This window comes from Homo sapiens, chromosome 3, assembly GCF_000001405.40.
Source record: "Homo sapiens chromosome 3, GRCh38.p14 Primary Assembly".
In the NCBI taxonomy this organism is placed as follows: domain Eukaryota; kingdom Metazoa; phylum Chordata; class Mammalia; order Primates; family Hominidae; genus Homo; species Homo sapiens.
In genome coordinates, this window is record NC_000003.12 from 183072289 (window position 1) to 183088901 (window position 16613).

General features: G+C 40.4%; 1 protein-coding gene across 13 annotated transcripts in view; it reads right to left on the minus strand.

Annotated features, from left to right (window-relative positions):
- MCCC1 (methylcrotonyl-CoA carboxylase subunit 1) overlaps nucleotides 1-16613 on the minus strand; it is a 100979-nt gene that overhangs the window by 57071 nt on the left and 27295 nt on the right. For 11 of the 13 annotated variants that reach the window (NR_120640.2, XR_007095707.1, XM_047448586.1 and 8 more), the window contains 2 exons: nucleotides 14405-14500; nucleotides 78-199 (listed from right to left, as the gene is read on the minus strand). Coding sequence is in view for 10 of the 13 variants with exons in the window: in XM_047448586.1 (XP_047304542.1) it covers nucleotides 78-199; nucleotides 14405-14500 (218 nt within the window). In the remaining 3 variants the exon portion in view is untranslated. The remainder of the gene's footprint in view (nucleotides 1-77; nucleotides 200-14404; nucleotides 14501-16613) is intronic. The other 2 variants (NR_120639.2, NM_001293273.2) reach the window with 2 other exon arrangements.

Here is a 16613-nt window from a genome sequence, read left to right on the forward strand (position 1 = left end):
GGCATAGCCACATGCCTGGCCCAAACTATTTCAACTGACCTTCATACAGTTATATTTTAAAAGATATAAACTCATACCTCTTTATACCCATGTCTCTAATTGCAGATGGAGGAGGGCCTATAAAAATAATTCCTTCTTGCTTACAAAGTTCAGCAAATTCCATGTTTTCTGAGAGAAAACCGCATCCTGGATGGATAGCCTAGAAATGAGAAATAAAATAAAAAATTTACTCATCAGTGCTCAACTGGCAACACCTTAATGCAGGTGAAGCTGTCTTCCTCTGGGAGGCCTCTCCCTACACTGGTAATAGTATGGTCTCTATTAAACTCTGTTTCCAAAGAAATATCTGAAATATTCATATGAAAGCTCTGAAGGCTTACCTAAACCAGATGAATCTATATTTCTTTTTATTGTGATAATATATACATAGCAAAACACTGACCATTTTAGTTACTTGCAAGTATGTAATTCAGTGGCATTAAGTACACTCACAATGTTGGGCAACTGTCATCACCATCCATCCTCAGGATGTTTTAATCTCCAAACATAATTCTCCATTCCCTCCCTTTCCTTAGTCCCTAGTAACCAGGATTTTACTTTCTGTTTATGAATTTCTCTAGCCAAAGTACCTCATGTAAGTGGAAGCGTATAATAATTTGTCTGAGTTTGGCTTATTTCACCTAGCATAATGTTTTCAAGGTTCATTCATGTAACATGTATCAAAATTCCATTTGTTTTTAAGGTTGAATAATATCCAGTTTGTACACATTTTGTTTATCCATTAATCTCTTGATGGACATTGTGTTATTTCTACACATTGTGAATACTGCTGCTGTGAACAACAAGTATTGGTATACAAGTATCTGTTTTGAGTCCCTGCTTTAAATTCTTCTAGCTGTATACCAAAAGTGGAATTGCTGGATCATATGGTACAGAAGTTTCTATATACTTAAATTTAAAATAATATTGCAATTAGGGTAGAATGTCAAGAAGTAAAGGGCTTCAGAGTGGTAAGGGGAATTTGTCTATTCTGTCTCTGTGTAAAACTGGCCTAGAATTGAAATCATGGCATCCAAAAGCCCCAAACAGAACACTAGCTCAATAAATACCTCACTTATCTTCAGGTCATCAATGTCATCTTTCCAGAAAAAAAGCTAAGAAGCAAATGAAAGTCATGTATTAAAGTCTACAGGAGTGTCCCCTTATCCAAGATCCCTAGTGGATGCCTGAAACTATGAATACTACAGAACTGGACTGATACCAATTTGACCACGCTTCTGTTCATGTCTTCCAATCACAAATGTAATGCCTTTCCCATCTTAACTAAGTACTTGCCATGCCCTGTGGCCATAAGTTTTGCAGTTTGAGGTGCAACAGGAAAATGACATGAATTTGTTTTTCCTTCTTCACAATTTCACAGATAGAAACTTGGTCCTTACCAAGAACCAAGAAACCTCAACATACATATTTTTTTCTTTCCTTGAGAATTTTCACCTTTTCACTTAAAAGAAGCATTTCATGGCTTCTCTTTAGCATAAGTGAATTGCCACCATCATTGCTCTTGCATTTTGGGGCCATGATTTAAATAAAATAAGGGTGACTTGAACACAAGCATGGTGGTACCATGACAGTCAATTTGATAACCTAGATGGCTCCTGAGTGACTAACAGATGGGGAGTGGAGACAGCGTGGAGACACTGGACAAAGGGACGATTCACATCCTGGGAGGGACAAAGCAGACTGTGCAAGATCTCACTGTGTGACTCAGAATGGCGTGCAATTTGAAACTTATCAATTGTTGATTTCTGGAATTTTCCATTTAATATTTTCACACCATAGTAGACTGCAGGTAACTGAAACCACTCAAAGCAAAACCGTGGATAAAGGGGACAACTGTACGTGTACTTTCAGTGAAAAGGGCATCCCTCAGACTTCAGCCTAGTTACTTCCAGTGTACTCAGAATTTTAACAAACATACTTACTGGGATTTTAGCCCACAGAAGAGGAAATTCAGTAACTGAAGGACAGCAAGATTTCTAAAAGTAAACACGCTGACAGCAAAAAGGGAAGAAACAGAAGGAGGCAAAAGGCAGAGAAGACTTGGATGATTTAATGAGTGATGAAGCCACACCCTCTCCAACATCAGTAGCCCTGAGGGGATTTGTTCTTCTAAAATGTGAGCGAGTATTATAATTATGACCAAAACAATGTAAAAACACAAAGGTTCAGCCAATCCTGTTTCAAAATAGTTACACTCAAAGAACATTTCAAAATTAAAGGGGTAAGCTTCACATATCTGGGAAACTCATACGAATAGAAAAACCCACATCCTAGTGACAGGAAACAATGCAATGCCAGATACAGATAAAATGCTGGATACTCATATGTTGCAGCCAGTTTAGAGTTTTATATCTTTTAAACCAAAGTTCAATTTTATTTTATTAACTTTTATTTTAGGTTTGGGGTGCATGTGAAGATTACACAGGTGAATACATGTCACAGGGGTTTGTTGTACAGAGTTCGTCACCCAGGTATTAAGCCCAGTATTCAATAGTTATCTTTTCTGCTCCTCTCCCTCCCACCTTCCCCACTCAGGTAGACCCCAGTGTCTTTTGTTTCCTTCTTTGTGTTCTTAAGTTCTTATCATTCAGCTCCCACTTCTAAGTGAGAACATGCAGTATTTGGTTTTCTGTTCCTGTGGGAGTTTGCTAAGGATAATAGCTTCCAGCTCCATCCATGTTCCCGCAAAAGATGTGATCTTATGCTTTATTATGGCTGCATAGTATTCCGTGGTGTATATGTACCACCTTTTCTTCATCCAATCTGTCACTGATGGGCATTTAGGCTGATTCAATGACTTTGCTATTGTGAATGATGCAATGAACATACATGCACATGTGTCTTTATGGTAGAATAATTTATATTCCTCTGGGTATCAACCAGTAATGGGATTGCTGGGTTGAATGGCAGTTTTGCTTTTAGCTCTTTGAGGAATCACCCTGCTGCTTTCCACAATGGTTGAACTAATTTACACTCCTACCAACAGTGTATAAGCGTTCCCTTTTCTCCACAACCTCCTGACATCTGTTATTTTTTTGACTTCTTAGTAATAGCCATTCTGACTGGTGTGAGATGGTGTCTCATTGTGGTTTTGATTTGCGTTTCTCTAATGATCAGTGATATTGAGCTTTTTTTCATGTTTGTTGGTCACATGTATGTCTTCTTTTGAGAAGTGCCTGTTCATGTCCTTTGCCCACTTTTTTTTTTTTTGAGACAGAGTCTTGCTCTGTCACCCAGGCTAGAGTGCAGTGGCATGATCTCATCTCATTGCAACCTCTGCTTCCCAGGTTCACGCCATTCTCCTGCCTCAGCCTCCCAAGTAGCTGGGACTACAGGTGCCTGCCACCACGCCCTGCTAATCTTTTTGTATTTTTAGTAGAGACAGGGTTTCACCATGTTAGCCAGGATGGTCTCATCTCCTGACCGTGTGATCTGCCCGCCTCGGCCTCCCAAAGTGTTGGAATTACAGACGTGAGCCACTGTGCCCGGCTGTCCTTTGCCCACTTTTTAATGGGGTTGTTTTTCTCTTGCACATCTGTTTAAGTTCCTTATAGATGCTAGATATTAGACTTTTGTCAGATGCAAACTTTGCAAATATTTTCTCCCACAATTTGAGTATTTTATATAAAATGGTCAAACATCTATACTAGGCAAATGAAACAGGTCTATGTCCTAGTCCTCCCTGGTTTGGGTTTTCTTTTGAGATATGATTTATAATACATAATATTCATGCATTTATAGTTTGGTGAATTTAGTAAATCTATACAATTGTGCAACTACAATTGGATCACTACAATCCAGTTTGAGAACACCTGCATCACTTGAAAAAGTTCCCATGTGCCCATGTGCAATCTGTTCCCAATACCCAAGCAACAACTGACTTGTTGTCTCTATAGTTTTGCCTTTAAAAAAATTCATATAAACAGAATCATACAGTACATAGTATTATGTGTCTGGCTTCTTTAACTTCACATAATTTTTCAAGGTTTATTCATGTTATGGAGTGTGTCAGTAGCTCATTTCTTTTTATAATATGGATTCTGTTATATGGATATACCACATTTTGTTTACCCATTCATTTGAATTATTTTCCAGTTTGTGGTTATTATGAATAACGGTGTTATAAACATTCACAGACAAGTCTGTGTGAACATATTTTTCATTTCTCTTGGGTAAATACCCAGGAGTGCAATTGTTTGGTCCTAATATGGTAAGAATACATTTAACTTTTCTAAAGCGATGATTTTATTTTGCATTTCTACCAGCAATTTATGATGCTTTAAAGTGTGTATCCATATCCCTGCCCACATGTTGTACTATCAGTCTTTCTGATTTTGGCCAATCTAGTGGGTGCATAGTGTTACTGCACTTTTTAAACATAGTTGTTGAGATATAATTCATATACCATAAACTCGGCCAACCCAATGATTTTTAGTATACTCAAAGTCGCACAATTATCACTATAATCTAAAATACTAAGATCTAATAATGTAAGTTTTTAACACTGCAAAAAGAAATCCTGTGCCTCTTAGCCATTCCTCACTCCCCATAAACCCCCAGCCCTAGGCAACTGTGAATCTACTGTCTCTATAGATTTACCTATATGAACATTTCATATAAATGGAATCATATAATACATGCAGTCTTTTGTGACTGGCTCTGTCACTGAACGTAATATTTTCAAGGTTCATCCATTTTTTGTTTAACACAAATCAGTACTTCATTCCTTTTTGATGGCAAAATAATACTCCATTGTATGGCTATACTGCATTTTATCTATCCACTCATCAGTTGATAGACATTTGCATTGTTCCTACTTTTTTGGCTACTATAAATAATGCTGCTATGAACATTCAGGTATAAATTTCTGTGCGGATGTGTTTTCATTTCTTTTGGGTATATACTGAAGAAGTAGAGTTACTAGTTCATAAAGTAACTCTATGTTTAACGTTTTGAGAAACTGCAAAACTGTTTTCCAAAGTGGCTGCTCCAGTTTACATTCCCATCAGTAACATAGAAGGGTTCCAATTTCTCTAAGTCCTCACCAATACTTGTTATCATCTCTTTTTGATTATAGCATCCTAGTGAGTATGAAGTGGTATCTCACCAAGGTTTTGATTTGTATTTCCCTAACAGCTAATATGTTGAACATCTTTTAATGGGCTTTCTGGTCATTTGTATAACTTCTTTGGTGAAGGATCTATTCAAATATTTTGCTCATTTTTTTAAAAAATTAGGTTTCCTAGCAACAGTTTCAAGCTTTGAAGTCAATTTTATCATTTTTTTTCGTGAACCTTTCTTATAGTATTATGTCTAAGAAATCTTTGCCTAATCCAAGGTCTCAAAGATTTTCTCCTATGTTTTCTTCTAGAAGTTTTATAGTTTTAGCTCTTACATTTAGGTCTGTGATATATTGTAAGTTAATTTTTTTTGTTTAAGGTGTGAGGCAAGAGTCTAGGATCTAGACTTCGGGTTCATCTTTTTACAAAGAGATGTCAAATTACTCCAGCACTATTTGTTGAAAAACTCTCCTTTCCTCTATTGAATTACTTTAGCACCTTTATTCAAAAATCAATTGACTACATATGTGAGTTTATTTTTGGATTTTCTATCCTGTTCTACTGACCTGTTTTTATCCTTATACCAATACCACGCTGTTTTGGTTATTGTAGCTTTATATATATATTTTGAGACAGAGCCTCGCAGTGTCTCCCAGGCTGGAGTGCAATGGCATGATCTTGGCTCACTGCAACCTCCACCTCCTGGGTTCCAGCGATTCTCCTGCCTCAGCCTCCTGAGCAGCTAGGATTACAGGCACCTGTCACCATGCCTGGCTAATTTTTGTATTTTTAGTAGAGACAGGGTTTCACCATGTTGGCCAGGCTGGTCTTGAACTCCTGACCTCAAGTGATCTGCCCACCTTGGTCTCCCAAAATGCTGGGGATTACAGGTGTGAGCCACTGCACCTGGCATAATGAGTTTTGAAACAGAGTCTAAATCCTACAAAATAGTTACATAAGCTTTTCAAAAATTGTTTTAGGTATATATTAGGCTTTTTGGCTATTTTAGGATTAGCTTATCAATTTCTATTTTTTTTAAAGCCTGCTGGGATTTTTATAAAGACTGCATTAAATATATAATGCCACCTTAATAATATTGAGTGTTCTGATGAAATATCTGTTTATTTAGAACTTCTTTAGTATCTCTCAGCAATGTTTTATAGTTTTCAGTAAATATGTCTTGAACTGCTTTTGCTAACTTTATTCCTAACTATTTGATTGCTATTGTGAATGTAACTGTTTCCTTAATTTCATTTCCGGAGTGTTTGTTACTAGTCTCCTTTAACAGATTCTGAATTTGATGGAACTTTTTGGTGTACTAGATAAATGCTCTTCTTTCATAACTGTATTAGTCTGTTTTCACACTGCTGATAAAGACATATCCCAGACTGGGCAATTTACAAAAGAAAGAAGTTTATTGGACTCACAGTTCCACATGGCTGGGGAGGCCTCGCAATCATGGCGGAAGGCAGGGAGGAGGAATTCATGTCTTACATGGATGGTGGCAGGCAAAGAGAGAGCTTGTGCAGGGAAACACTCATTTTTAAAACCATCAGCTCTCATGAGACTCATTCATGACCATGAGAACAGCGCAGGAAAGACCTGCCCCCATAATTCAATCACCTCCCACTGGGTTCCTCCCACGATACATGAGAATTGTGAGAGTTACAATTGAAGATGAGATTTGGGTGGGGACACAGAACCAAACCATATCATTCCGCTCCTCATCCCTCCTAAATCTCATGTCCTCACATTTTGAAACCAATCATGCCTTCCCAACAGTCCCTCAAAGTCTTAACTTATTTTAGCATTAACTCAAAAGTCCACAGTCCAACATCTCGTCTGAGACAAGGCAAGTCCCTTCCGCCTATAAGCCTGTAAAATCAAAAGCAAGCTAGTTACTTCCTGGATACAATGGGGTTATAGGCATTGGTTAAATACAGCCTCCAAATGGAAGATATTGGCCAAAATAAAAGGGCTACAGGCTCCATGCAAGTCTGAAATCCAGCAGGGCAGTCAAATCTTAAAGCTCCAAAATGATCTCCTTTGACTCCATGTCTCGCATCTGGATCACATGGATGCAAGAGGTGGGTTCCCATGGTCTTGGGCAGCTCCAACCTTGTGGCTTTGCAGGGTATAGCCCCTCTCCTGGCAGCTTTCACAGGCTGGTGTTGAGTGTCTGTGGCTTTTCCAGGTACATGGTGCAAGCTGTTGGTGGATCTACCATTCTGGGGTCTGGAAGACAGTGGACCTCTTCTCACAGCTCCACTAGGCAGTACCCCAATAGGGACTCTGTGTGGGGGCTCTGACCCCACATTTCCCTTCTGCACTGCCCTAGCAGAGGTTCTCCATGAGGGTTCCACCCCTGCAGCAAACTTCTGCCTGGCATCCAGGAGTTTCCATACATCCTCTGAAATCTAGGCGGAGGTTCCCAAACCTCAGTTTTTGACTTTTGTGCTCCCAGAGGCTTCACACCACATGGAAGCTGCCAAGGCTTGGGGCTTCCACCCTCTGAAGCAACAGCCCAAGTAGTACCTTGGCCCCTTTTAATCACAGCTGGAGCAGCTGGGACTGAGGGGACCAAATCCCTAGACTGTACACAGCAGTCTGGCCTGGCCCACAAAACCATTTTTTCCCTCCTGGGCCTCCGGGCCTGTGATGGGAGGGGCTGCCATGAAGACCTCTGACATGCCCTGGAGACATTTTCCCCATTGTCTTGGGGATTAACGTTGGGCTCCTTGTTACTTATGTAAATTTCTGCAGCCAGCTTGAATTTCTCCTCAGAAAATGGGATTTTCTTTTCTACCACATTGTCAGGCTGCACATTTTCTGAACTTTTATGCTCTGCTTCCCTTATAAAACTGAATCCCTTTAATAGCACCCAAGTCGTCTCTTGAATGCTTTTCTGCTTAGAAATTTCTTCTGCCAGATACCCTAAATCATCTCTCTCAAGTTTGAAGGTCCACAAATCTCTACAGCAGGAATAAAATGCTGCCAGTCTTTGCTAAAACATAACAAGAGTCACCTTTGCTCCAGTTCCCAACAAGTTTCTCATCTCCATCTGAGACCACCTCAGCCTGGACTTCACTGTCCACATTACTATCAGCATTTTGGGCAAAGCCATTCAGCAAGTCTCTAGGAAGTTCCAAACTTTCCCACATTTTCCTGTCTTCTTCTGAGCCCTCCAAACTGTTCCAACCTCTGCCTGTTACCGAGTTCCAAAGTCACTTCCACATTTTTAAGTATCTTTTCACAGCACCCTACTCTACTGGAACCAATTTTCTGTATTAGTCTGTTTTCATGCTGCTGATAAAGACATTACCTGACACTGGGCAATTTACAAAAGAAAGAGGTTTAGTGGCTGGATAGGCCTCACAATCATGGTGGAAAGGCAAGGAGGAGCAAGTCACAACTTACATGGATGGCGGCAGGCAAAGAGAGAGCTTGAGCAGGGAAACTCCTGTTTCTTAAAACTATCAGACCTCATGAGACTCATTCACTATCATGAGAACAGCACAGTAAAGACCCATCCCCATAATTTAATCACCTCCTACCGGGTTCCTCCCATAATACGTGGGAATTGTAGGAGTTGCAATTCAAGATAAGATGTGGGTATGGACACAGCGAAACCATATCAATAACTAAAAACAAAAGGAGCCATCTCCTTGTGAAAATAAAATTCAGTCGTACACTCTGGGAACAGCCTTAAGAAGTTTAACTAATTTCTCTTAGGAAGAACAATTTAATATAACCAAACCATGATGTTCTTGAGCATTTGAATGGATTAAAAGGGAAAACAACAGCACCACTACTATTACCAGCGGGCTAATTCCCTTGCTTCAGGCATGTATTGAGCTGCCACTTCACCCTGGTGGGTCATAGGATTGCAAACCTGTTGAGATTGTTCATTGCACGGTACTAACATGCCTTTATTAGTAAACACAGAAAACTAGTATCTCTTGTCCTCCTTAAATCTCTGCCAAAATAATTTATTCCAACCTTTTAGTTTGTATTTACTTTGCTCTGTAACTTGTTCAAGAAGACACACACAAGCAAAGTTGTTGGTTCTACCCTCAAGCAGAGTTTGACAAAAAACTGGCTCTGCCTTCAAGCAAAAATGAGAAGTGTCCTTTCCATGGTGAAGCGGACAAGTCATGGTCTTTAAATTCTTATTACCAAGTGTAAGGTACATAGATGTGCTTTGGTCAAGGAATAGGCTGAGGTGGACATCCAGACCTGCATGACTCAGCAAATTTAGGGCACAGGCACATACTGCACTTGTTATATAACCTGTTTGTGTAAGCTCATATGCCACTATTGTCTGTAAAAGGTATAATTGCCCTGCTAATGCTGTTCAGGGGCTCTTGGGGCTCAACTCGGCTCAACATGGCTTGACATGGTGGGAGCACTGGCACCCAGAGAGAGTGCCAAAGTTGTCCATCTTGCAGCCGGACAGGTGGGAGCCAGGACACAGCTTGGCTTGCTCATGCCCAGAGAGAGAAAGAGTTAAGCTGCTGACCCTGAAGGCAAGGGAGAGCCAGCTGTGCAGCTGCGGGCATGGGAGTGGCAGGAACCACAGAGCCAGAGCAGACAGCTAAGATAAAGGTGAACAGTATGAGAGACCTAGTCTAACTAAGCTGCTAATAAGAGCTGCTGCTGAAGAAAACCATATTCACCTGCCTACGGCCCCCCAAGTGTTCTTTCTGCTCATCCACACACTCTCCTCAGACATCAGCATGGGCTGGACAGACCCTGGGACCGGACACCAAGAATTTCCTACCTTCGTCTGTGATACTTAAAACATATGGGTTTCCTTTTGGTCAACCACAGAGTAGCTGTATTCAGTAAATGACTTGCTATATGCATTTAAGTTACTTGTCAGTGATTTTCAAGTACCTGTAATAAAGTTCCTAACTCTTGGTAGCACATGAAAAAAAAATGGAGCACTTTTATAAAACATTCATGCTCAGGAGCAACTTCAGATAACTGAGGGGACTGAAGTATAATACACATATAGAAAAGCACATTTGCCCTAAGTGTACAGCTCTTAAGTCCATTGTTTACTTAAACTGAATACACCTGTGCAGCCAGTGCTCAACTCAAGAATCAAAACATCACAAGCATTCCAGAGACTGCTTTATGCTTCCTTACAGTTAGGCCTCTTCCGCAAGGCAGTACAACAGTCTCTTTAAAAGCTCAGGTGGTTCTAATCTGCAGACAGGGTTAACTACAACCTCTTTCCCAACCAGAGAAGACTGAAGACAACTGGCAATCGAGAGAACGAGTGTGGCCAGGGCGGTGGCTCACGTCGGTAACGCCAACACGTAGGCAGGCCAAGAGAGAAGGATCACTTGAGCCCAGGAGTTTGAGACCAGCCTGGGAAACACAGTGAGACTTTGTTTCAAAAACAAACAAACAAACAAAAAATTAGCTGGGCATAGTGACGTGTGCCTACAGTCCCATCACAGCTACTTGGGAGGCTGAGGTGGCAGGATCACTTGAGTCCATGAGTTCAAGGCTGCAGTGAGCCATGATCATACCACTGCACTCCAGCCTGGGAGACAGAGTGAGACAACGTCTTAAAAAAAAAAGGCTAGCCTAAAAAATATTTACATCTTCTTGAGTTTCTCAATATAGCCATATCACCAGACATCACCAGAAATTTAGCTCACTTGTAAATTTTACTTTAATTTCTATAAAAGTATGTCAAAATGGCCACATTAAGAACAATTCTAGACTTTTAGAAAACTTCTTTCAAATCACTATACAAGTGTTATTCAATGTCCTTTACTAGATGGCCAATAAGTTTCTTCTTTAAAGTCAACATTAAAGGAAGGTTTGCTCTCCTAATCGGCAAGTATCTTTTTATTAGAGGAGAACTTTGTAAATTATAACCCACCAAATTTCCTTTCTGATCAGGTCTGCCCCAAAGAGCTAAACAGCTTTACTTAGGCTAAATTTTCTGATTTAATTCCAATGTTCATTCACTCATGTTACTTGGCTTTTGCTCTTTTATCCTTTATTTTCACCACTAATTTTTGCAAGCCACCCCAAATCTTCAATATCCAGGCAAAATGATTATTTTTTGAAAATATTTTATTCTTTTAAAAATACTGTCTGAAAGTATGTTATTCTTTTCAAACATTCTTTGAAATATACTTCAAAATAAGTATTATTCCTTTCTCATTGTGTTACAGCAACTAACATGATACTATTCTAAATAGGTACAAGCTTGATAAAGTCCCTGGAATTAGCATATCATACATTTGCTAGAAGGTTCTTATTTAAACTAAAAAATGGTCTCAGAAAAATGGTCATTAAAAAGAAAGTGGATTTTCAATTCTTCAGGAGGCAGCTTAGAAAAGAAAGCAATAATAAAACAAAAAGGAAGCTCATTGGCCTACAAGAAGTAATTTTTAATTAATAAAAATTTCTAATTAAACAACACCTTCCCTTTTTCCAAAATGCAGGGCAAGAAAGTTCTACTGCTCAGTCTGGTCCAATGAATAGGGAATGGGGCTGGGAGTCAGAATACTCTTGTTTAATCCTTTCTCTTTCAATGATTAGACAAGTTTTGATTTCAGATCACTGGGGGATCTTGATAAAAATGCAAATTTTGCATAAATGCAAATTACAGTGGGTTTAGGGTAGGACTTAAAGGCTGTTATTGTTTTTTATTCAGAGATGGGGTCTTGCTATCTTCTACAGGCTGGCCTGGGTTCAAGCAATCCTCCTGCCTCAGCCTTCTGAGTAGCTGGGATTACACATGTGAGCCACTGTGTCCAGCTTAAAAGTCTGAATTTCTAACGAGCTCATAATGTCAAACCTGCTGTCCATGGACCACACTTTGAGTAGCAAGATTTAGATGCTTTGGAATAACATCATGCAACCTTCTGTGCATTAGATGTTATGCCCATAAGATGAAGGTAATACTACCATGGCATTTATGCTTAAATACATGATAAATGCACAAACTGATATTTATGTTAAAGGGCCTGAACTCCTAAGGACATGTGAGATACATATGTATATCTCCACGTACTATTATCATCTCCTTACCCTCCTAAGGACCTTTTACTTCAAGCTGTAACCAAAAAAGCTTCATAAACAAGCATATTTTAAATATGCATTTGTATAAATTAATACCTATTCAGTTTAAGAACACTATTCTAAAGAAGAGATACATCAATACAAAACAACTATACATATTCACTAATTTAGTTAAGGACTTGGCTGGGCGCAGTGGATTACACTTTTAATCCCAACACTTTGGGAGGCTGAGGTGGGAAGATCACTTGAGGCCAGGAGTTTGAGACCAGCCTGGGCAACACAGGGAGGCTCCATCTCTACAAAAATTTAAAAAATCAGCTGGGCATGGTGATGCAAGCCTGTAGCTCTAGCTACTTGGGAGGCTGAGGTGGGAGGATTGCTTGAACCCTCACTGCTGCACTCCAGCCTGGATGATAAGTGAACCCCTGTCTCAAAAAACAAAAATAAAAACAAATTGAGGACTATGTACAAGCTCACTGGGTTGCTAGGAGGTATGCTTAAAAAAATAAAAAGGTGTCAGATATGAGTTCTTCCCTTAGGAAAGCACAAAGGAATTATGGAGGAGCCAACATCTACATTAAACTCGTTAAACAAAGCACTAATTAAGTATAAATATGACTAGAACAAGAAATCAAATGCGGAATGATCAATGTGCTAGAGGAGACAACGAAGAATTTCTAAGGAGAAGGAATTCAGGTGAGGGTGATGGGCAACACTACGGCAATTTACTTTTAATTGTTTTGCCTTCTTTCAATGTTGTTGTCCCTACCTTTGCCCCCACTTCAATCATCCATTTCCCCACCCAGAAGCCACAGCGATTTTATTAAAAAGTAAAGCAGATGGCTTTACTCCCCAGCTTTAAAAAACCTCCCAATGGCTACTCAGAATGAAATACAAACTCCTTATCAAGACCTATAATGTTCTCACTTTGGGAACTGAGGCAGGCAGATCGCTTGAGCCTAGGAGTTCAACACCAGCCTGGGCAACATGGAGAAAGCCCATCCCTACAAAAAATAAAAAATTAGCCAGGTGTGATGGCATGCGCCTGTGGTCCCAGCTACCTGGGAGGCTGAAGTGGGAGGATCACTTGAGCCTGGGTGTTGGAAGCTGCAGCGAGCCATGATTGTGCCACTGCACTGCAGCCTGGGCAACAGAGCAAAGACCCTGTCTTTAAAAAAAAAAAAAAAAAAAAAAAAGAATGTTCTAAATGATGCTACCCCTACCTCTCTCTGCTCCATCGTCTCCTACCACTTTCTTCCTGTAAGATGGTTCTCCCAGCTGCAAATCCAGCCTTCTACGTGGTGCCTTGTGAAGGGGCTCTGCCTGTTTGCCAGTGGGCTTCCTGTTAGGTTTCACCAGTAGGGGTCACTGTAGGGAAACTTGAACAAGGAAGCTTTCCTTCTCCTCACCGCCGGGAAGCGGCCATTGGTTCCAGTCTTCAGGTTCTTTTGGAACTCCAAGAACCAGCCTCATTAAGCCCTCGGCAGCCAGGCAGGGCCCCTCCACAGATCTGAGAACAGCTGCAGAAAGTCCCTCCCCCAGTCTCTCCTTCAGCCCAAAGGGTGGTTTTCAATTTCTGTTATTATTAAAGGGTAATTTCAACATCCCCACCCTGCCTTCAGCTCTCTAACACTGGTGGAACTAATTCCTAAACTAAGTTCCTTCTGCTGAAACGTCAAATGGAATTTTGGTTTTACTGACTATACCTGAATGACACAGCCCCTTACTGCCTTCACTCCAACCACACTGAACATTCTTCTCCCTTGAACACCAAGCTTGTTTTCATCTCAGAGTCTTGGCAATTCCATTTGCCTGAATCGTCTTCCTTAAGTTCCCTACGTGGCCCTAGAATGAGACTGGGAAGTTGGGGTGGAAATATATTTCTTTCTTGCTTATATTTTACCTTGTAATTCAGAGCCCTACCTACCTATTTCTCCCAAAGGATTTGAGCTTGTAGTTTTGAGGATAGAAGAGCTGAATTCTCTCCTAATTTTAACTTGTAATTTAGACCCTCTTTCCACCTATTTCCCAAAGGATCTAAAGTACACAGGATCCAGTAAAAAGGCAGACTGGCTGAGAAATGAGATGGGACATGCCTAGTTTACAATGATAATCCAATAATCAAATGTAAAGATCTTGGGAAAGGCTAAAAATAGAAAATTTCTATAAGTAACTTTGCATCAGTTGCACAAAACGTATTCCTTTTGCACTGCAAATCTCTTCACAACCCTCACCTGTGCAGCAGAGGTCTTGGCCACTTGAATGATTTTCTCCATAGATAGGTAGCTCTGCTGGGAGGGAGCGGGGCCGATGGAATATGCTTCATCTGCCTGTTTAAGAAACATCACATGCTTAAAAGACTTTGTGGCTAGTACATACTCATACACTATACAGAACTGCTTCAGGGTCATTTTATTATTGTAAATAAAAATGCCACTCCCTCAAGAACAGTGCAAGAATTGAAAAACTGAAGTACCAATGTATGTCTACACTATAAAAATAAGCCAGTCTTAGAATCTTTTGCATGAAGAGGGTAACAAAACTTGGTTTTCATGCATAAGCCACACACTGGTGTGAAACTAAAGTGTCTCAGGATAAAAAGCAACAGACATTAGTCATGATATTATTACTAAAACAATAATAACCTTAAATGTATTCAAGGCCAAAAATTTATATTTGATAATAGAAACAAAATATGTGACAGATGTACACAAAGAAAAAAGCTTACAAAGTTGATTAAAGTTTATATAATTATCAGAGTATGATAATGCTTTCATACATTTGTGAATTATTTTATATTATTCCTTAAAACTTACACAAAATCATAGCATCCCTTGAAGTAGACCATTTAGAGCACATCATTCATTCATTCCAAGACTTACTGAAGGCCTACTACGTGCCACACTTTGAGGTGGGAGCTGCCTGTACCATAGTGAACAAGACAAATGTCCCTGTCTAGGGGGAGAGACAGACATTAAAAATACATTCACACACTTAATGACAACTGTGATGAACGTCATGGAGGAAAAACCAAGGGCATAAATGCTGTAGGAGGAAGGCCTGATCTGGTCTGAAGGTGATCAGGAAATGCCTAGAAGGGAAGTCAGGGGAGGCTCCTCAAGGATGATCAAGACTGGCCGGGCATGGTGGCTCACGCCTGTAATCCCAGCAAGGCCAAGGCGGGCGGATCATGAGGTCAGGAGATTGAGACCGTCCTGGCTAACACAGTGAAACCCCATTTCTACTAAAAATACAAAAAAAAATTAGCTGGGCGTGGTGGTCGGCACCCGTAGTCCCAGCTACTCGGGAGGCTGAGGCAGGAGAATGGCGTGAACAGGGAGGCGGAGCTTGTAGTGAGCCGAGATTGCGCCACTGAACTCCAGCCTGGGCAACAGGGCGAGACTCCTTCTCAAAAAAAAAAAAAAAAAAAAGGATGATCAAGACTTTGCCTGGCAAACAGATCAAGAATGTGGAGCTGAGAACAGGAATGGAGCTGAGGATGAGGCTCTCAGGCACAGAAAACAACCTACATAAAGGTGGGAGGAAAACTGGTCCAGCTGAGTGACCGAAGAAGGCTTGTGTGGCTGGAACACAATGAGCAAGGGGTCCAGGGGCCAGAGAGGATGCTGGACAGAAAGCTGGGCACAGATTTCAAAGGGCCTGTGAGAGGTTAAAAAGCTTTGGGCTTTCTCCTAAGGGAGCACACAAAGAGACCATTTTAAATGTTTTGTTGTTGTTGTTGTTGTTGTGTGTTTTTTTTTTTTTTTGAGGTAAGTCTTGCTCTGTCGCCCAGGCTGGAATGTAGTGGCGCGATCTCGGCTCACTGCAACCTCTGCCTCCCGGGTTCGAGCGATTCTCCTGCCTCAGCCTCCCGAGTAGCTGGAATTACAGGTGCACACAATCACGCCCAGCTAATTTTTGTATTTGTAGTAGAGACAGGGCCTCACCATGTTGGCCAGGCTAATCTCAAACTCCTGACCTCAGGTGATCTGCCTGCCTGGGCCTCTCAAAGTGCTGGGATTACAGGCGTGAGCCATGGTGCCCAGCCTGTTTTTTACTTTTAACTCCACAAAACACAAATCTATTCTCATTCTAAAGAAAGTGAATTATAATACAAACGCAAAGTAGCCCTTTGGTACTCCCCCCATTGCAGTCTCCTTCCAGATAGAACATCCACTATAATAAACCTGGGACATATTGTTCCATATCCATATTCCTAACTAGTCATATATGTTTATATAAACACATGCAGTTTTAGTTCTTGTTTTTACATAAATAGGATCATACTATATAATTATCTTCTGCAACTGCTTTTTCCATTAACGGTATGTCTTGGGAACTCTTTTTCTTGCTAGTACACATGTCTATACCTCATTTTGTATAACATTTGCAAACTATTCCATAGTATGGCAGTATCATAGTTCATTTAATCATGTATCTCTT